Genomic DNA, 17,606 nt, shown 5'->3' with positions numbered 1-17,606 from the left:
ATAAATGGAACCATAAAGCCTGGATGACAGCGTATCTGCTTACAGTAAGCCCACTGTTGAGAACTACTGCTCAGAAAAAAAGATTATTTTCAAAATATTACTGCTCATTGACAGTGTGCCTGGTCACCCAAGGGCTCTGATGGAGACGTACAAGAAGCTAATGTTCTTTTCATGCTTGCTAACATAACATCTGTTCTATGGCCAATGGACCAAGGAATCATTTCAACTTTGAAGTCTGATAATTTAAGAAATACATTTCATAAAGCTATAGTTGTCACAGTGATTCCTCTGATGGATCTGGGCAAAGTCTATTGAAAACTTTCCAGAAAGAATTCACCGTTTTAGATGGCATTAAGGACATTCATGACTCATGAGAGGAGCTCAAAATATCAACATTGAGGGGTTTGGAATAAGTTGGTTCCAACCCTCATGAATGACTTTAAGGGGTTCAAGACTTTGGTAGAGGAAGTAATTCCAGAGTGGTGGAACTATCAAGAGAAGTAGAATGAGAAGTGGAGCCTGAAGATGTGACTGAATTGCCACAATCTCAGGATCAAATTTGAATGGATGATGAGTTGCTTCTTATGGATGAGCAGAGAAAGTGGTTTCTTGAGATGGAACCTACTCCTGGTGAAGATGCTGTGTGAAATGACAAAAAAATGAAACAGAATATTATATAAACTTAGTTGATAAAAGAGTGTCAGGATTTAAGAGGACTGACTCCAGCTCTGAAATAAGTTCTATTGTGAGTAAAATGCTATCAAACAGCATTTCACACTACAGAAAAATTTTTCATGAAAGGAAGAGTCAATTGATGTAACAAACTCCATAAGTTGTTTTAAGAAATTGCCACAGCCATCCCAACCTTCAGCAATCACTATCCTGATCAGTCAGCCGCCATCATCACTAAGAAAAAATCCTGCACCAGCAAAGAGATTATGACTCACTGAAGGCTCAGGTAACCACTAGCATTTTTTAGCAATAAAGTATTTTTAAATTAATGTATGTACATTTTTTTTTTTTTTAGACGGAGTCTCACTCTGTCACCCAGGCTGGAGTGCAGTGGCGTGATCCTGGCTCACTGCAATCTCTGCCTCCCGGGTTCATGCCATTCTCCTGCCTCAGCCTCCCGAATAGCTGGGACTACAGGTGCCCGCCACCACACCCGGCTAATTTTTTGTATTTTCAGTAGAGACGGGGTTTCACCATGTTAGCCAGGATGGTCTCTATCTCCTGACCTTGTGATCTGCCTGCCTCAGCCTCCCAAAGTGCTGGGATTACAGGCGTGAGCCGCCATGCCCGGCCAAGTATGTACATTTTTAATACATAATGCTACTTCGTACTTAATAAAATATAGCATAAATATAACTTTTATATGCACTGGGAAACCAAAACATTTGTGTTTTTATTTTGATTTTTGCTTTATTGTGATACTTTATTGTGGTGGTCTGGAATCAAACCAAATATATCCAAAGCATGTCTGTATACATGTTGTTTTAGGTGAAATTATGTGGAGCATGTTCTCTGAACTCAATACTATTAAACTAGATACCTATAACAAAAATACAACTAGAAAATCCCTGAGTGTTAAAAAATAAAGAAACACACTTCTAAATCCATGAGTCAAAAGAAATCATATTGGAAATTATATATACTTTAAACTGATTGATGATGAAAATACTACACATTAAAACTGGTGCAATACAGCTAAAGTCATGCTTACAAGGAAATTTATAGCTATAAATAAATATACTACAAAAGAGGTGGCCAAGGCAGGCAGATCACAAGGTCAGGAGTTTGACATCTTGGCCAACATGGTGAAACCCCACCTCTACTAAAATACAAAAATTAGCTGGGCGTGGTGGTGCACATCTGTAGTCCCAGCTAGTCAGGACTAGCTGCCTCAGCCGAGGCAGGAGAATCGCTTGAACCCGGGAGGCAGAGGTTGCAGTGACCCAAGATCGTGCCACTCCAGCCTGGGCGACAGAGCGAGACTCTGTTTTTTTTTAAAAAGAACGAGGGGCCGGGCACAGTGGCTCACGCCTGTAATCCCAACACTTTGGGAGGCCAAGGCAGGTGGATCACCTGAGGTCAGGAGTTCGAGACCAGCCTGACCAATATGGTGAAACCCCGTCTCTACTAAAAATCCAAAATTAGCCAGGCATGGTGGTGTGTGCCTGTAATCCCAGCTACTCAGGAGGCTGAGGCAGCAGAATTACTCAAACTTGGAAGGCAGAGGTTGCAGTGAGCTGAGATCCTACCACTGCGCTCCAGCCTGGGTGACAAAGCAAGACTCCGTCTCAAAAAAACAAAACCAAAAACAATAAAAGGGTAACTTTGATAAAGTAATTTTATATCTGTTGAATCTAGTAAAGAAGATTTGGGGCTTGTAATTAAGATATTCCTTTAATTTTTTCTAGTAATTCATCCTTATTTTATTTTATAAATGTATTAGTATACCAAAGATTGGAATTAAAAAAAAAAAAAACTGGTTCTTCTAACCTGGGCAACATAGCTAGACTCCATCTCTAAAAGAAAAAATAAAAAACAATTAGCTGGGCATGATGGCACATGTCTGTAGTATCAGCTACTTGGGAGGCTGAGGTAGGAGGACTGCCTGAGTCCAGGAGTTTGAGGCTGCAGTGAGTCACGATCGTGCCACTGCACTCCGGCCTGGATGACAGTGTGAGACTCTGATCCAAAAACAAAAACACCACCACAAAAAAAACTGGTCCTTCACTACAGTTTGAGAAGCATATAGAATATCTATTAAAAACAATCACTATTGCAAATATATTACTTAATGGTAAAATGGTGAAGCTTTCCTCTGAGAACAAGACTGTCACCACTTTTATTTACTATTGTACTAGAGGTCCTAGTTTATGCAGAAAGGCAAGAAAAAAAAGGCACAAGAACTAAATGGTTGGGGTTGGGGGGAAACTCCTGTGACTTATAGATTGAGTACACAGGAAATACAGAATTTTTCTCAAGTTCCAACTACCTGCTTCTTGGTTTGCACCTGTACCTTTATATTAAAATAAAGGCCACAGTAAAAATACAATATTGTCTTTGTCTCACTTAGATATCAGTTTAGATCCTATAACCACTGGCCTCTTATGTGTGCTTTGGGCAGGCCCTTGTGCATTTCAGATTTCAACTTAATCTCTCGACTAATAAATAAACTTTTTAATGGAAAGGCTACTCTTTTCCTTTCTTTGGATTTAGGTAGCTATCAAGGTCCATCTCACAATTCTGAACTGGAACTGCAAGTTCTTTAAGGGCTTATATTTTCATATTTCCCATGGCACCTGGAATAGTATAGGCATCTTGTAGGTACTCAATAAATTTCTGTAGAATTGGTTTCATGCCAGAAACCACTTTCCACTTTAAAGTCATATTCACAGAATGGATAAGCCTTAAGACAGATGGACAGGCAGATAGATAAGATATATGTATCAATAAAGAAAGAAAACATTTTTTTAAAAAAGTTTACTAAGATCTCATCAGAGGGTGATGATGAGAATAACATAGTTCAGTGTGACTACTCAGGGTCCTAGCTTCCAAGGCTGGTTCTATACTATTTCAGCTCATGGCTCCTTCATTAAGAAATGTCAGCCGGGCGCGGTGGCTCATGCCTGTAATCTCAGCACTTTGGGAGGCCGAGGCAGGTGGATCACCTAGGTCAGGAGTTCAACACCAGCCTGACCAACATGGAAGAAACCCCATCTCTACTAAAAATAAAAAATTAGCCAGGCGTGGTGGCTCATGCCTGTAATCCCAGCTACTCGAGAGGCTGAGGCAGGAGAATCGCTTGAACCTGGGAGGTGGAGGCTGTGGTGAGCCGAGATCGCGCCATTGCACTCCAGTCTGGGCAATAAGTGCAAAACTCTGTCTCAAAAAAAAAAAAGAAAAGAAAAAAGAAATGTCCACCTGTGAATTGAACAATGAGAACACTTGGACACAGGAAGGGGAACATCACACACAGGGGCCTGTTGTGGGGTGGGGGGAGGGAAAGCATTAGGAGATATACCCGATGTAAATGAAGAGTTAATGGGTGCAGCACACCAACATGGCACATGCATACATATGTAACAACCCTGCACATTGTGCACATGTACCCTAGTACTTAAAGTATAATTTAAAAAAAAACAAAACAACGAAATGTCCACCTGTATTTGTAATGGTTTAAGAAAGTCCAGAATGGCTTCAAGAAACTTGTAACACAGAATCTAAGAGATTTTTTATTGGTTTAGAATGTAGTATTTCCTACCTCCCTCCCTTCAAGGATTCACTCCATAAAGGTATCCAAAAGTGTCCTGAACTTTGCACCATGAACCCTGAGATTTGAATCCTGATCCTGTCATTGACATTGGACACATGACCCAAGCTATATGACCTTCCAAGAGTCATATTTTCTGAGTTGCAGGTACTATACCAATCAAATCATCTAGGAACCTAGGTCTCCTTCCAGGTTCTTGATATACAGGATTCTGTTCCATTCTTCTCTTCCAATGCAATGCAAGTTTCCCAGTTTCAATTCTGTCCCAACTCTAACTGTGTGACTTTGGGAACAACCCTTAACTTTCTCCAGATTTCATTGTTTTCTGTATAATGCGGATATCTGAACTATGTCTGAGGTCTCCTATGGTTACTCCTCCCACACATACACACACAGACTTTTTTTTTTTTTTTTTTTTTGAGACGGAGTCTTGCTCTGTTGCCAGGCTGGAGTGCAGTGGCGCGATCTTGGCTCACTGCAACCTCCACCTCCAGGTTCAAGCGATTCTCCCGCCTCAGCCTCACGAGTAGCTGGGACTATAGGTGTGTGCCACACGCCCGGCTAATTTTTTTGAATTTTTAGTAGAGACAGGGTTTCACTATGTTGGCCAGGATGGTCTCAATCTCCTGACCTCATGTTCTGCCCGCCTCAGCCTCCCAAAGAGCTGGGATCACAGGCGTGAGCCACTGCACCCGGCCCACACACAGACTTTTAAGATGAGAAGTTTGATACTGCTGCATCAACTCATGGTCTGCCTTGAAAGTATTGCTTTACACAGATATGTATACCCACAGAGTTTTACAGAGCAAACTTAAACTGGTTCCTAGCAAAGGAAATGGTGTTTTTGTTGTTGTTTCTAGGCTGCTATTTATGATTAAACATTTGGGAAAAGACATAGGTAGCAGAATCAGTCACTAGCATACCTATTGCGTCATCCATTTGCCATGCCCTGACCAGAGAAAAGACCGGCTCTTGATGTTCATGTCCCGCTCCTTATCAGGATTTAAATTAGCATACTACAGCCAAGCACGCTGGCTCACATCTATAATCCTAGTACTTTAGGAAGCTGAGGTGGGAAGATCACTTGAGGCCAGGAGTTCAAGACCAGCCTGGGCAACATAGTGAGATCCCATCTCTACAGCAAATTTAAAAATCCGCTGCCTAGATGCACACCTGTAGCCCTAGCTACCTGGGAGACTGGGGCGGAAGGATCACTTGAGCCCAGGAGTTCAGGTTGCAGTGAGCTATGTTTGCATCACTGCATTCCAGCTTGGGTGACAGAATAAGACCTTGTGGCTAAAAAAATAAAAATAAAAAATAAACTAGCATACTGCTACAGGAACATAAAATATACATTACTTTTTTTTTTTTTTTGAGATGGCGTCTTGCTCTGTCGCACAGGCTGGAGTGCAGTTGCGCAATCTCGACTCATTGCAACCTCTGCCTCCCAGGTTTAAGTGATTATCCTGCCTCAGCCTCCCGAGTAGCTGGGATTACAGGTATGTGCCATCACACCCAGCTAATCTTTTGTATTTTTAGTAGAGATAAGGTTTCACCATGTTGGCCAGGCTGCTCTCGAACTCCTGACCTCCAGCAAATTCACCAATCTCAGCCTCCCAAAGCATTGGGATTACAGGCGTAAGCCACTGCACCTGGGCCATATATTACTTCTTATAAGTGGCCTGGAAGGGTAAAAACTTCGCCTATAAAAGAACCCATCTGTTGCTACTTAATAGCAGGACCTACCTTAATGATATAAGACAGATGGTACCAAGCACCAAACACCAGTATTTGGTTAGGAAACACATCAAATCCTACCCCATGTCTGATGTCTGACTACCACCACCAATGGCAGAGAAAGGGGACTGGTTTACCAGGGAACCAGTAGAGGCCATGCCATATTGGGCGCCTGCAGACCCCACCACATTCCCTACAGTTTTCCCTCTCATTCACCATGCTTTAGCCACACTGGCCCCTTGAAAACATCAAGCCTTCTCCCAGGGCTCTAGTCCATTCCACTCCCTCTTCCTGAAACACTTCTCACCACGTTACGTCATTCTTCACACGACTATACTCCTTTCAGGTCTCAGCTTAAACGTTTCCTCCTCAGAGAAGCTCTTCCTGATCACCTCATACAGGTGGGCCACCAACACTTTCCAACGTTCTTTGCCATTGACATCCATTTATTTATTAACCTTTATCACTACTTGTAATTGTTTGTTTCCTGACTCACACCCACTAGATTGTAAGCTTGCCTGAGGGCAGGACCACGTCTTCTCTATTTATCAATACATATTCAGTGTCTAGTACAGTAGCTGGCACACGATAAGTGTTCATTACACCTATGTTCAATGAATTAGGGAACATTAGGAGAGCTTCCCAGGCTTCAGTTTGGTTTCAGATCTCCAGGACCACAGTAGCTCACCTTGTACATAGGGCCCCATCTCTGGATGCTCCCTGACCCGCAGGGTATAGGACTTTTTTTGACCAGATTGCTTCAACAGATCCCGCACCCGTTCATTATAGATTTCTAGAAAACTAGAGTTAAGTAGAAAAAGGCAACATAATTATATTTTGAAAAAAAGTAGAAACAACATTGAGCTAAAAATCAGGAGGTCTTAGTTCTTGTTCCAGCTCCACTTCTGACACTCTAAGGCAATGATCAAGCCAAGGTTCCCCCTTGATTCTCTTTCCATACATATACAATAGAGTTTTTTGTATTTTTTATTTTTGAGACAGAGTCTCGCTCTGTCTCACAGGTTGGAGTGCAGTGGCACAATCTTGGCTCACTGCAACCTCCGCCTCCCAGATTCACCGCACCCAGCCACAGAGGTTGTTTCTTGAGTGAATTTCAAACATGACCGTTGAGCTCTATTGTTCTGTGAAGGCATCTCAAGGGCTACTAGACAGCCAGGGTAAGTTGGGCCACAGAAGGAAAGACCTGCTTGTTAAGTCTATGGGTAGGAAATTAAGTTTCCTACAACCAAGGGCCTAAGTATCTTTCTCAGCTCTTGTACTGCAAGATATTTCTTCTGTGGCTTTTCTCCATCCCTGTGGTGACTCTGGAAGCAAAGAGAGGACAGCTGAACATGGTAGAATTTGGAGTAGAAGAAGAACTACTGTAGGTCCCAGAGCTTGGGAGGTTCTTACCTTACTTTTATCCTACAGGAGGAAGGCAGTGAGGCACAGTCTTTCTCCCTGACGAAGAGACCCTGCACAAACCAGAGGGTTGGGGTTTCATTGTAGGAATTGTAGAGAGACCTACTTTGAGAGGATCCAGCCAAAAGATAGTCTATACCTCACATATCCGTGGTGTCAACCCAACAGAGGCCTGGTGAACAGAAGAAAGGAAAGCATTATTGTTTACTTAAGATGATGCTCTCCCCCACAGAATACCCAGGAACCATCCTCAGCATGGGGGATGAGTGCATGGACTCCTTGTGCTAGCCTCTTCACTCCAGGCAGTTTCACTGGGGAATATAGAAGACTTTTATGTGCCAGTGCTCTGAGAGACACTCATGGGAGAAATGTACCAAATGAGAGGAATATGTATCACCATAAGAAGGAAAAGAGGAGAAGCCGGCAAACCCAGATACCTGCTTTTATGCAATGAAGATTACATTATTCTTGGATAAAAACACTTTACCAATGTTCCCCCAGCCCCCTATACCTCCAGTCCTTACAGGCGGACAAGAGTATATGAGTATTCAAAATACACATTTAGACCAGGTGTGGTGGCTCACCCCTGTAATCCCAGCACTTTGGGAGGCCGAGGTGGGTGGATCACTTGAGCTCAGGAGTTAGAGACAAGCCTGGGCAACCTGCGGAGACCCTGTCTCTACTAAAAATACAAAAAAATTAGCCAGGCATGGTGGCGTGTGCCTATGGTCTCAGCTAATCGGGAGGCTAAGGTGGGAGGATCACTTGAACCCAGGAGGCAGAGGCTGCAATGAGCTGAGATCGTGCCACTGCACTCCAGCTTGGGTAACAGAGTGAGACCCCATCTCAAAAACAAAACAAAACAACAAAAACAACAACAGCAAAAAAACACATTTAGAAAGAGGTAGTTTCTTTTCCCATCTTGTATCCAGTGCTAACTTGTACTCGGTTAAGGGCTTTATACTTTTCGTTTAGTGGCCAATTTCTTTTTTTTTTTTTAATTATTATTTTTTTGAAATGGAGTTTCACTCTTGTTGCCCAGGCTGGAGTGCAATGGCATGATCTCGGCTCACTGCAACCTCCATCTCCCGAGTTCAAGGAATTCTCCTGCCTCAGCTTCCCAAGTAGATGGGAGTACAGGCACCCACCACCACACCTGGCTAATTTGTATTTTTAGTAGAGATGGGGTTTCACCACGTTGGCCAGGCTGGTCTTGAACTCCTGAGCTCAGGTGATCCGCCTGCCTTAGCCTCCCAAAGTACTGGGATTATAGGTGTGAGCCAACATGCCCAGCCCCAATTCTTCTTTTAATGTCAAATACTATGAAATCACACTAAACACAGGACAAAGCGAGCAATGAGCTAGGCCCAAGGCATCAGGGATAATCATCTAAGAGGAATCATGTCCTATAGAATGTCCCTGTGTAGTGTTTATTTGTTACCCACCTAACAGGACATATATACTTTTAGAGACAGGGTCTCTTTTTATTTATTTTTTTGAGACAAAGTCTCGTCCCATTTCCCAGGCTGGAGTGCAATGGCACAATCTCAGCTCACCGCAACCTCTCCCTCCTGGGTTCAAGCGATTCTCATGCCTCAGCCTCCCAAGTAGCTGGGATTACAGGCGCACGCCACCATGTCTGGCTAATTTTTGTATTTTTAGTAAAGACTTGGTTTCACCATATTGGCCAGGCTGGCCTCGAACTCCTGACCTTGTGATCTGCCCGCCTCAGCCTCCCAAAGTGCTGGTATTACAGGAATGAGCCACCCCACCCAGCTGAGACAGGGTCTCTTACTCTGTTGCCCAGGGTGGAGTACAGTGGCAAGATCATGGCTAATCACTGCAGCCTCAACCTCCCAGGCTGAAGCCATCCTCCCACCTCAGCCTCCTAAGTAGCTGGGACCACAGGATGTGCCCCCACACCCAGCTAACTTTTGTATTTTTTGTAGAGATGGAGTCTCCCTATGTTGCCTAGACTGTTCTCAAATTCCTGGGCTTAAGAGATCTTTCTGCCTCAGCCACCCCAAAGTGTTGAGATTATAGGTGTGAGCTACTACACCTGGCACCCTGACCAGGATATTTCTAAACCCAAAACAAAAAGGTATTCTTAAGCAACTCTGCCCTCCTGATTTTCTGTGATAAAGGAAGCCTCTCATTAAATCCTGCATACTTTTGAAAGCCCCTGACTCAGGAGCTAGTTCTCCTGCTTTCTTCCAACACACAGATCTAACACATGTAGGCTTGGAGCTTGGCCACAATAATCAAATCTCTGCACAGCTCTAGCATGCACTTAAGATTTAGTCCAGGTCTTGTCCACAACAAAGGTGCAAAACAGATCCAAATAATGAACCTGGAGATAAGTAGAAATTCAGCAGGACTGACAAGAACTGCTTTGTCAAAGGGAGCTGTAAAATTCTAAGGCTCTTCAGGGTTTAATAAAGAGGGGTTAAGGCCGGGCATGGTGGCTCATGCCTGTAATCCCAGCACTTTGGGAGGCCGAGGCGGGCAGATCACGAGATGAGGAGATTGAGACCATCCTGGCTAACACGGTGAAACCCCGTCTCTACTAAAAATACAAAAACTTAGCCAAGCGTGGTGGCGGGTGCCTGTAGTCCCAGCTACTCTGGAGGCTGAGGCAGGAGAATAGCGTGAACCCGGGAGGCGGAGCTTGCAGTGAACTGAAATTGCGCCACTGCACTCCAGCCTCGGCGACAGAGCAAGACTGCGTCTCAAAAATATATAAATAAATAAATAAGGGTTAATTATTCAAAGGTTACCTTCCAATTAAATGCTGAAAAACTCATTTTTTTTTTTTTTTGAGATGGAGTTTTGCTCTTGTTGCCCAGGCTGGAGTGCAATGGCACGATCTCAGTTCACAGCAAGCTCCGCCTCCCGGGTTCCCACCTTGTCCTCCCAAAGTGCTGGGATTACAGGCGTGAGCCACTGCGCCCAGCCGAAAAACTCATTCTTAAAACAGAAGAAGGCTCATTCAATCTTCTTTAAAGTTGACTGCCTACAGAAATCATATTCTGTCTCACAGTAGTAAGGACAATGCAAGGTTCAGGCTTGCTGTGGCATTAGGAATATATATCATTGTAATACTCACTGGGGTCCCCAGCATGGTATATGTCTTCCCAGAGCCTGTCTGTCCATAAGCAAAAAGGCATATGTTATAGCCTTTGGCAACTCCAGACAGTACTTCCATCCCTAAATCCTGGAAAACCTGTAACAACAAAAGCAGAGGAAATATCACTGTGGTCCTTCTTCTCATAGCAGATTTAGAATTATTTTCTAATCTAAAAAAATATAAAATATTTCAAACATACATGACTATTAATTCACTACCATTTCATAAGAATCAATTTAGCTTCATAAAAAGATAGCTAAGGAAAATTCATTCATTCAGCCGGTCAAATTTTTTAAGTGCCTAGTGTATCTAGACACAATACTAGACTCTGAAGATAAGATACAAAAGTAATATGGTCTCTAAACTTAAGGCAAAGAGAGTGTAGAAGAGCAAAGATATGCAAGCAAAATAATTCTGTATCTCTCGTAAGAAAACATTTAATATGGTTAATCAGGTAAAGCTGCAGTGAAATATTGCCCAATAACATACAAATTCAGGGTCTTAGGATACCATACTGAAGATCAGTAAGACCAGAAGTTAGGGAGGTGTTTTCCACATGCATTTATTTTCTACACACTCCCTCCTCAGATTGACCCTAAGAGCTGGCTGGTTCTGCTGGTCATTTACCCCTGCTTTAGTGAATCAGAAATAGGCAGAGGTCCTCATGTGAAAACTCCTGTACTTGGTATACTGCTTGGAAGTCCTACTGAGCTCTGTTAGGCAGACTCTGGTCTCAGGAAAAAATAGCCAGCTTTATGGGGAAGGCACAGCTTCCTAGTTCAGCCAGTCTTCAGCAGAATGCTACGTGGGCATCTGCATACCCACAGCTGGTACAGCGGATATTTACCCTTTGTATTGTTGCCCAGCATCAAAATACTCTTCCTTTGAATCTTTGGTTGTGTCAGTCTTGGTGGGAAGCACAGCTCAATGCTCTACTATAGAAGCCAAACAGGCCAGATATTCCTCTCCATCTAGGACAACACTAGCACATGAAATGAGGCCAGACAGGGCCAGGCGCGGTGGCTCAGGCCTGTAATTCCAACACTTTGGGAGGATGAGGTGGGTGGATCACCTGAGGTCAGGAGTTCGAGACAGGCCTGGCCAACATGGCGAAACCCTGTCTCTACTAAAAATACAAAAAATTACCCAGGCATGGTGGCGGGCACCTATAATCCCAGCTACTTGGGAAGCGGAGGCAGGAGAATCGCTTGAACCCAGGAAGCGGAAGTGCAATGAGCTGAGATCGTGCCACTGCCCTCCAGCCTAGGCGACAGAGTGAGACTCCATCTCAAAAAAAAAAAAAAAGAAAGAAAGAAACGGGGCCGGACAACTAGATGTCACTTGACAACTAGATTATCATTTGAATTTTGAAAGAAAGACATAAAAATAAAGAATAGTTAATAAATTGTCCATGCTGGCATCAAGGATCCAATAGCACTGCTGCTGGGCATACAGTGGTAGAAGTGCCAAGTGTGTGCTCAAATCAGATGATTCTGTGATATGGTTCTGCCTGGGGTCCCTGCTGCTTAGCATCCCATGCCTTCTTGCCCATTTTTCAACTTTCCCTTCAATTCTGTGACAACTCTGATACGATTCCAAGGTGTAGTGTATTCTTATACTTCAAAGCTGTGTGATCTTGGGCAAGTTACTTAAACTTTGTAAACTTCAGTTTCTTTAGGTATAAAATGTTTATTTTTGTATCTGTAATACAGGTTTGTTGTGAAGATTAAACAAAGTAATACACGTAATTAGGGACAAAGGAGCTGCTAACTCAAGACTACACTCCCTGTTCTTTTTTTTTTTTTTAATTGAGACAGGGTCTTGCTCTGTCCCCCAGGCTGGAGTGCAGTGGCACAATCTTGGCTTACCACAGCCTTGACCTCCTGGGCTCAAACGATCTCCCTACCTTGGCCCCCCAGCAGCTGGAACTACAGGTGTGCATCACCATGCCCAGCTAATTTTTTTGTATTTTTGTAGAGACAGGTCTCCCCATGTTGCCCAGACTGGTACTGAACTCCTGGACTCAAGTGATCCACGTACTTCAGCCTCCCAAAGTGCTGGGATTACAGGTGTGCGCCACTGTGTCTGGCTCTTTATTTATTTTTTTCTTGAGACATGGTCTTATCCTGTCAGCTAGGCTGAAGTGCAGTGGCACAGTCATAGCTTACTGCAGCTTCAAACTCCTGGGCTCAAGGGATCATCTCGCCTCGGCCTCTTGAGTAGCTAGGATTACAGACATTTTTATTAGTTTTCTCTTTGTTAGTTTATTTGTTTTAATAATCAGTGTTAAGTTGTCATCAGTTTAAACGAATGGGTTATTTGCAAGCCTTATGGTAACCTCAAATCAAAAAACCTACAAAAGATACACAAAAAATAAAAAGAAATTAAAACATGTCACCAGAGAAAATCACCTTCACAAAACAGGAAGACAGGAAGAAAAGAAAGAGGGAAGAAAAGACCACAAAACAACCAGAAAACAAATAACAAAATGGCAGAAGTCCTTACTCATCAATAATAACTTTGAATGTAAAGGGACTAAACTCTCCAATCAAAAGACAGAGTTAAATGGATTTAAAAAACAAGACCCAACAATCTGCTGCCTACAGGAAACACATTTCACCTATAAAGACACATATACACTGAAAACAAAGGGAGAGAAAAAGATAACCCATGCAAATGGAAACCAAAAAAGAGAAGTAGCTACATGTGTATCAGAAAAAATAGATTTCAAGACAAAAACTTAAAAGAGACAAAGGTCATTATATAATCAGAAAGGGGTCAATTCAGCAAAAGGATGTAACAATTATAAATATATATGTACCCAACACTGGATCACCCAGATATATATAAAGCAAATATTATTAGAGCTAAAGAGAGAGAGACCTCAATACCGTAATAGCTGGAGACTTCAACACCCCACTTTCAGCATTGGAAAGATCATTCAGACAGAAAATCAACAAAGAAATGTTGGACTTAATCTGCACTGTAAACCAAATGGAACTAATAGATATTTACAGAACATTTCATCCAATGGCTGCAGAATACACATTCTTCTCCTCAGCACATGGATCATTCTCAAGAATAGACCATATGTTCGGCCACAAAACACATCTTAAATAATTTAAAAAAAAAATCTTCCTGAAAGGTGGGTTAAGGAAAAAATAAATAAAAATAAATAATAAAACAATTCCAAAAAGCTGAAATCATATCAACTATCTTCTATTACCACAATGGAATAAAATTAGAAATCAATAACAAGAGGAATTTTGGAAACCATACACACACATGGAAATTAAACAACATGCTCCTGAATGACCACTAGGCCACTGAACAAAATAAGAAGAAAATTTTAAAATTTCTTTTTTTTTTTTGGAGACGGAATCTCGCTCTGTCACCCAGACTAGAGTACAATGGCGTCATCTCAGCTCACTGCAACTTCTCCCTCCCGAGTTCAAGCAATTCTCATGCCCTGGTATCCCAAGTAGCTGAGACTACCGGCGCACACCACCACGCCTGGTTTTTTTTGTATTTTAGTAGAGACAGGGTTTCACCATGTTTCCCAGGCTGGTCTTGAACTCCTGAGCTCAGGCAGTCTGCCCAACTTGGCGTCACAAAGTACTAGGACTACAGGTGTAAGCCCCATGCCTGGCCTAAATTTCTTGAAACAAATGGATACGGAAACAGAAGAAACAAATGGGATACAGTGTAAGTACTACTAAGAGAAAAGTTTACAGCAATAAGCATCTATATCAAAAAAGTAGAAAAACTTCAAATAACCTAATAATGCATCTTAAAAACTAGAAAAGTGGCCAGGCATGGTGGTCCATGTCTGTAATCCCAGCACTTTGGGAGGCCAAGGCAAGAAGATCACTTGAGCCCAGGAGTTCAAGACTAGCCTGGGCTCAAGCTCTATAAACTCTTGCAATATAGTAAGACTCCATTTCTATTTTTTTAATTAAAAAAAAAAAAGAGCTAGAAAAGTAAGAGCGAATCAAACACAAAATGAGCAGAAGAAAAAAACTTAGAGCAGAAATAAATGAAATTGAAATGAAAAAAGCAATACAAAAGATCAATAAAAATGAAAAGTTGGTATTTTGAAAAGATAAAATCGATAAGCCTTTAGACAGATGAAGAAAAAAAGAGAAGACTCACATAAATAAAATCAGAAATGAAAAAGGAAGCATTACAACTGACACTGCAGAAATCCAAAGTCCCATTAGAGACTACTATGACTATATACCAATAAATTGGAAAACCTAGAAAGAAATGGATAAATTCCTAGACACATGCAATCTACCAAAATTGAACCATGACGAAATCCAAAACCTGAATAGAACAGTAACAAGTAATGAAGCTGTAATAAAAATCTCCCAGCAAAGAAAACCCCAGAACCTGACAGCTTCACTGCTGAATTTTACCAAACATTTAAAGAACTAATACCAATCCTACTAAAACTACTCCAAAAAAATGAAAAAGGGAATACTTGCAAACTCATCTTTTAAGGCCAGTATTACCCTGATACCAAAACCACATAAAGATACATCAAAAAAAGAAAATTACAGGCTAATATCCCTGATGAACATTGATGCAAAAATCTTCAACAAAATACCAGCAAACCAAATTCAACAACATGTGAAAAAGATCATTCAGGCTGGGCGTGGTGGTTCATACCTGTAATCTCAGCACTTTGGGAGCCCGAGGCAGGGAGATCACAAGGTCAGGAGATCGAGACTATCCTGGCTAACGTGGTGAAACCTGGTCTCTACTAAAAATACAAAAAATTAGCTGAGTGTAGTGGCACGCACCTGTAGTCCCAGCTACTTGGGAGGCTGAGGCAGGAGAATCACTTGAACCCAGAAGATGGAGGTTGCGGTAAGCCAAGATTGCACCACTGCACTCCAGCCTGGGCGACAGAGTGAGACTCAGTCTCACAAAAAAAAAAAAAAAAAAAGAAAAAAAAGATCATTTATCGTGACCAAGTGGAATTTATCCTAGGGATGCAAGGATGACTCAACATATGCAAATCAATGAATGTGATACATCATGTCAACAGAATGAAGGACAAAAACCATATGATCATTTAAACTATTGTTGAAAAAGCATTTGATAAAATTCAACATCCTTTTTATGAGAAAAAAAAACCCTTGAGAAACTGGGTACACAAGGAACATACCTCAACACAATAAAAGCCATATACAAGAAGGGATCCACAGCTAGTATCAGACTGAACAGGAAAAAACTGAAAGCCTTTCCCTCTAGGATCTGGAATAAGACAACAATGCCCATTTTCACCACGGTTATTCAATGTAGAAGTCCTAGCTAGAGCAATCGGACAAGAGAAAGAAAGAAAAAGCATTCAAATTGGAAAGGAAGAAGTCAAATTATCCCTGTTTGCAGATGATATATTTGGGAAAACCTAAAGACTCCACCAAAAACCTGTTAGAACTCATAAACAAATTCAGTAAACTTGCAAGATACAAAATCAACATACAAAAATCAGTAGCATTTCTATATGTTAACAGAGAACAATCTGAAAAAGAAATCAAGAATGCAATCCCATTTACAATAGCTACAAATAAGATACCTAGGAATAGTCTTAACCAAAATGAAAGACCTCTACAATGAAAACTATAGGCCAGGCACAGTGGTTGAGGCCTGTAATCCCAGCACTTTAGGAGGCTGAGGAAGAAGATCCCTTGAGTGCAAGAGTTGAATATCAGCCTGGCAACATGGTGAGACCTTGTCTCTACAAAAAATAAACAAAATTAGCAGGGTGTAGTGGTGTATACCTATAGTCCTGGCTACTTGGGAGGCTGAGGTGGGAGGATTGCTTGCACCCAGGAGGTCATGGCTACAGTGAGCAATGATCACGTCCCTGCACTCCAGCCTGGAAAACAGAGCAAGAGACTGTCTTGGGGAAAAAAAAGAAATTTAACTGGGGTAGTATGAGAAATACTTGCAATCTCTACCAAAATACCAATGACATTCTTCACAGAAATAGAAAAAACAATCCTAAAATTTTTATTGAACCACAGAAGACCCAGAATAGCCAAAGCCATCCTGAGCAAAAAGAACAAAACTGAAGGAATCATATTACCGTACTTCAAATTATACTACAGAGCTACAGTAGCCAAAACAGCACGGTACTGGCATAAAAACAGACACGCAGACCAATAGAACAAAACAGTGAACCCAGAAAGACATCCACACACCACAGTGAACTCATTTTTGACAAAGGTGCCAAAACATACACAGGGGAGAAGACAGTCTCTTCAACAAATGGTGCTGGGAAAACTGGATATCCACATGCAGAAGAATGAAACTTGACCCCTATCTCTCACCTTATATAAAAATCAAATCAAAATGGATTAAGGACTTAAATCTAAGACCTCAAACTATGAAACTACTAAACATTAACACTGAGAATACTCTCCAGGACATAGGTCTGGGCATAGATTTCTTGAATAATACACCAGAAACACAGGCAACTAAAGCAAAAATGGATGAATGGGATCACATCAAGTTAAAAAGCTTCTGCATAGCAAAGGAAACAATCAACCAAGTGAAGTGACAACCCACAGAACAGGCGAATATATCTGCAAACTATCCATCTGACAAAGGATTAATAACCAGAATACATAAGGAATGCAAAAAAATCAATAAAAAATCTAAAAATTCAATTTTAAAATAGGCAAAAGATCTGAATAAACACTTCTCAAAAGAAGACATACAAATGACAGACATATAAAAAGATATATTAACATCACTGATCATCAGAGAAATCCAAATTGAAACTACAATGAGTTATCATCTCACCCCAGGAGAAATGGCTTTTATCCAAAAGACAGGCAATAATGAATGCTGGTGAGGATGTGGAGAAAAGGGAACCCTTATACACTATTGGTGGGAATGTAAATTAGTACAGCCACTATGGAGAAGAGTATGGAGGTTCCTCAGAAAAAAAACACTAAAGATAAAATTACCATATGATCCAGCAATCCCACTACTGGGTATTTATCCAAAGAAAATGAAATCAGTATG

The 17,606-nt window shown here is 41.6% G+C and overlaps 1 protein-coding gene across 16 annotated transcripts in view; it reads right to left on the bottom strand.

The window, feature by feature from the left end:
- The window catches only part of STARD9 (StAR related lipid transfer domain containing 9), a 145,393-nt gene that overhangs the window by 75,482 nt on the left and 52,305 nt on the right, over positions 1-17,606 (bottom strand). For 12 of the 16 annotated variants that reach the window (XM_011521831.4, NM_020759.3, XM_011521834.4 and 9 more), the window contains 4 exons: positions 10,545-10,661; positions 7,578-7,610; positions 7,430-7,491; positions 6,705-6,817 (listed from right to left, as the gene is read on the bottom strand). In XM_011521831.4, coding sequence (XP_011520133.1) covers positions 6,705-6,817; positions 7,430-7,491; positions 7,578-7,610; positions 10,545-10,661 — 325 coding nt within the window. Of the gene's footprint in view, positions 1-6,704; positions 6,818-7,429; positions 7,492-7,577; positions 7,611-10,544; positions 10,662-17,606 lie in introns of those variants that run through there. The other 4 variants (XM_011521833.3, XM_047432901.1, XM_047432902.1 and 1 more) reach the window with 2 other exon arrangements.

This window comes from Homo sapiens, chromosome 15 (genome assembly GCF_000001405.40).
Source record: "Homo sapiens chromosome 15, GRCh38.p14 Primary Assembly".
NCBI lineage: Eukaryota > Metazoa > Chordata > Mammalia > Primates > Hominidae > Homo > Homo sapiens.
This window is presented reverse-complemented; position numbering and strand designations above follow the sequence as displayed.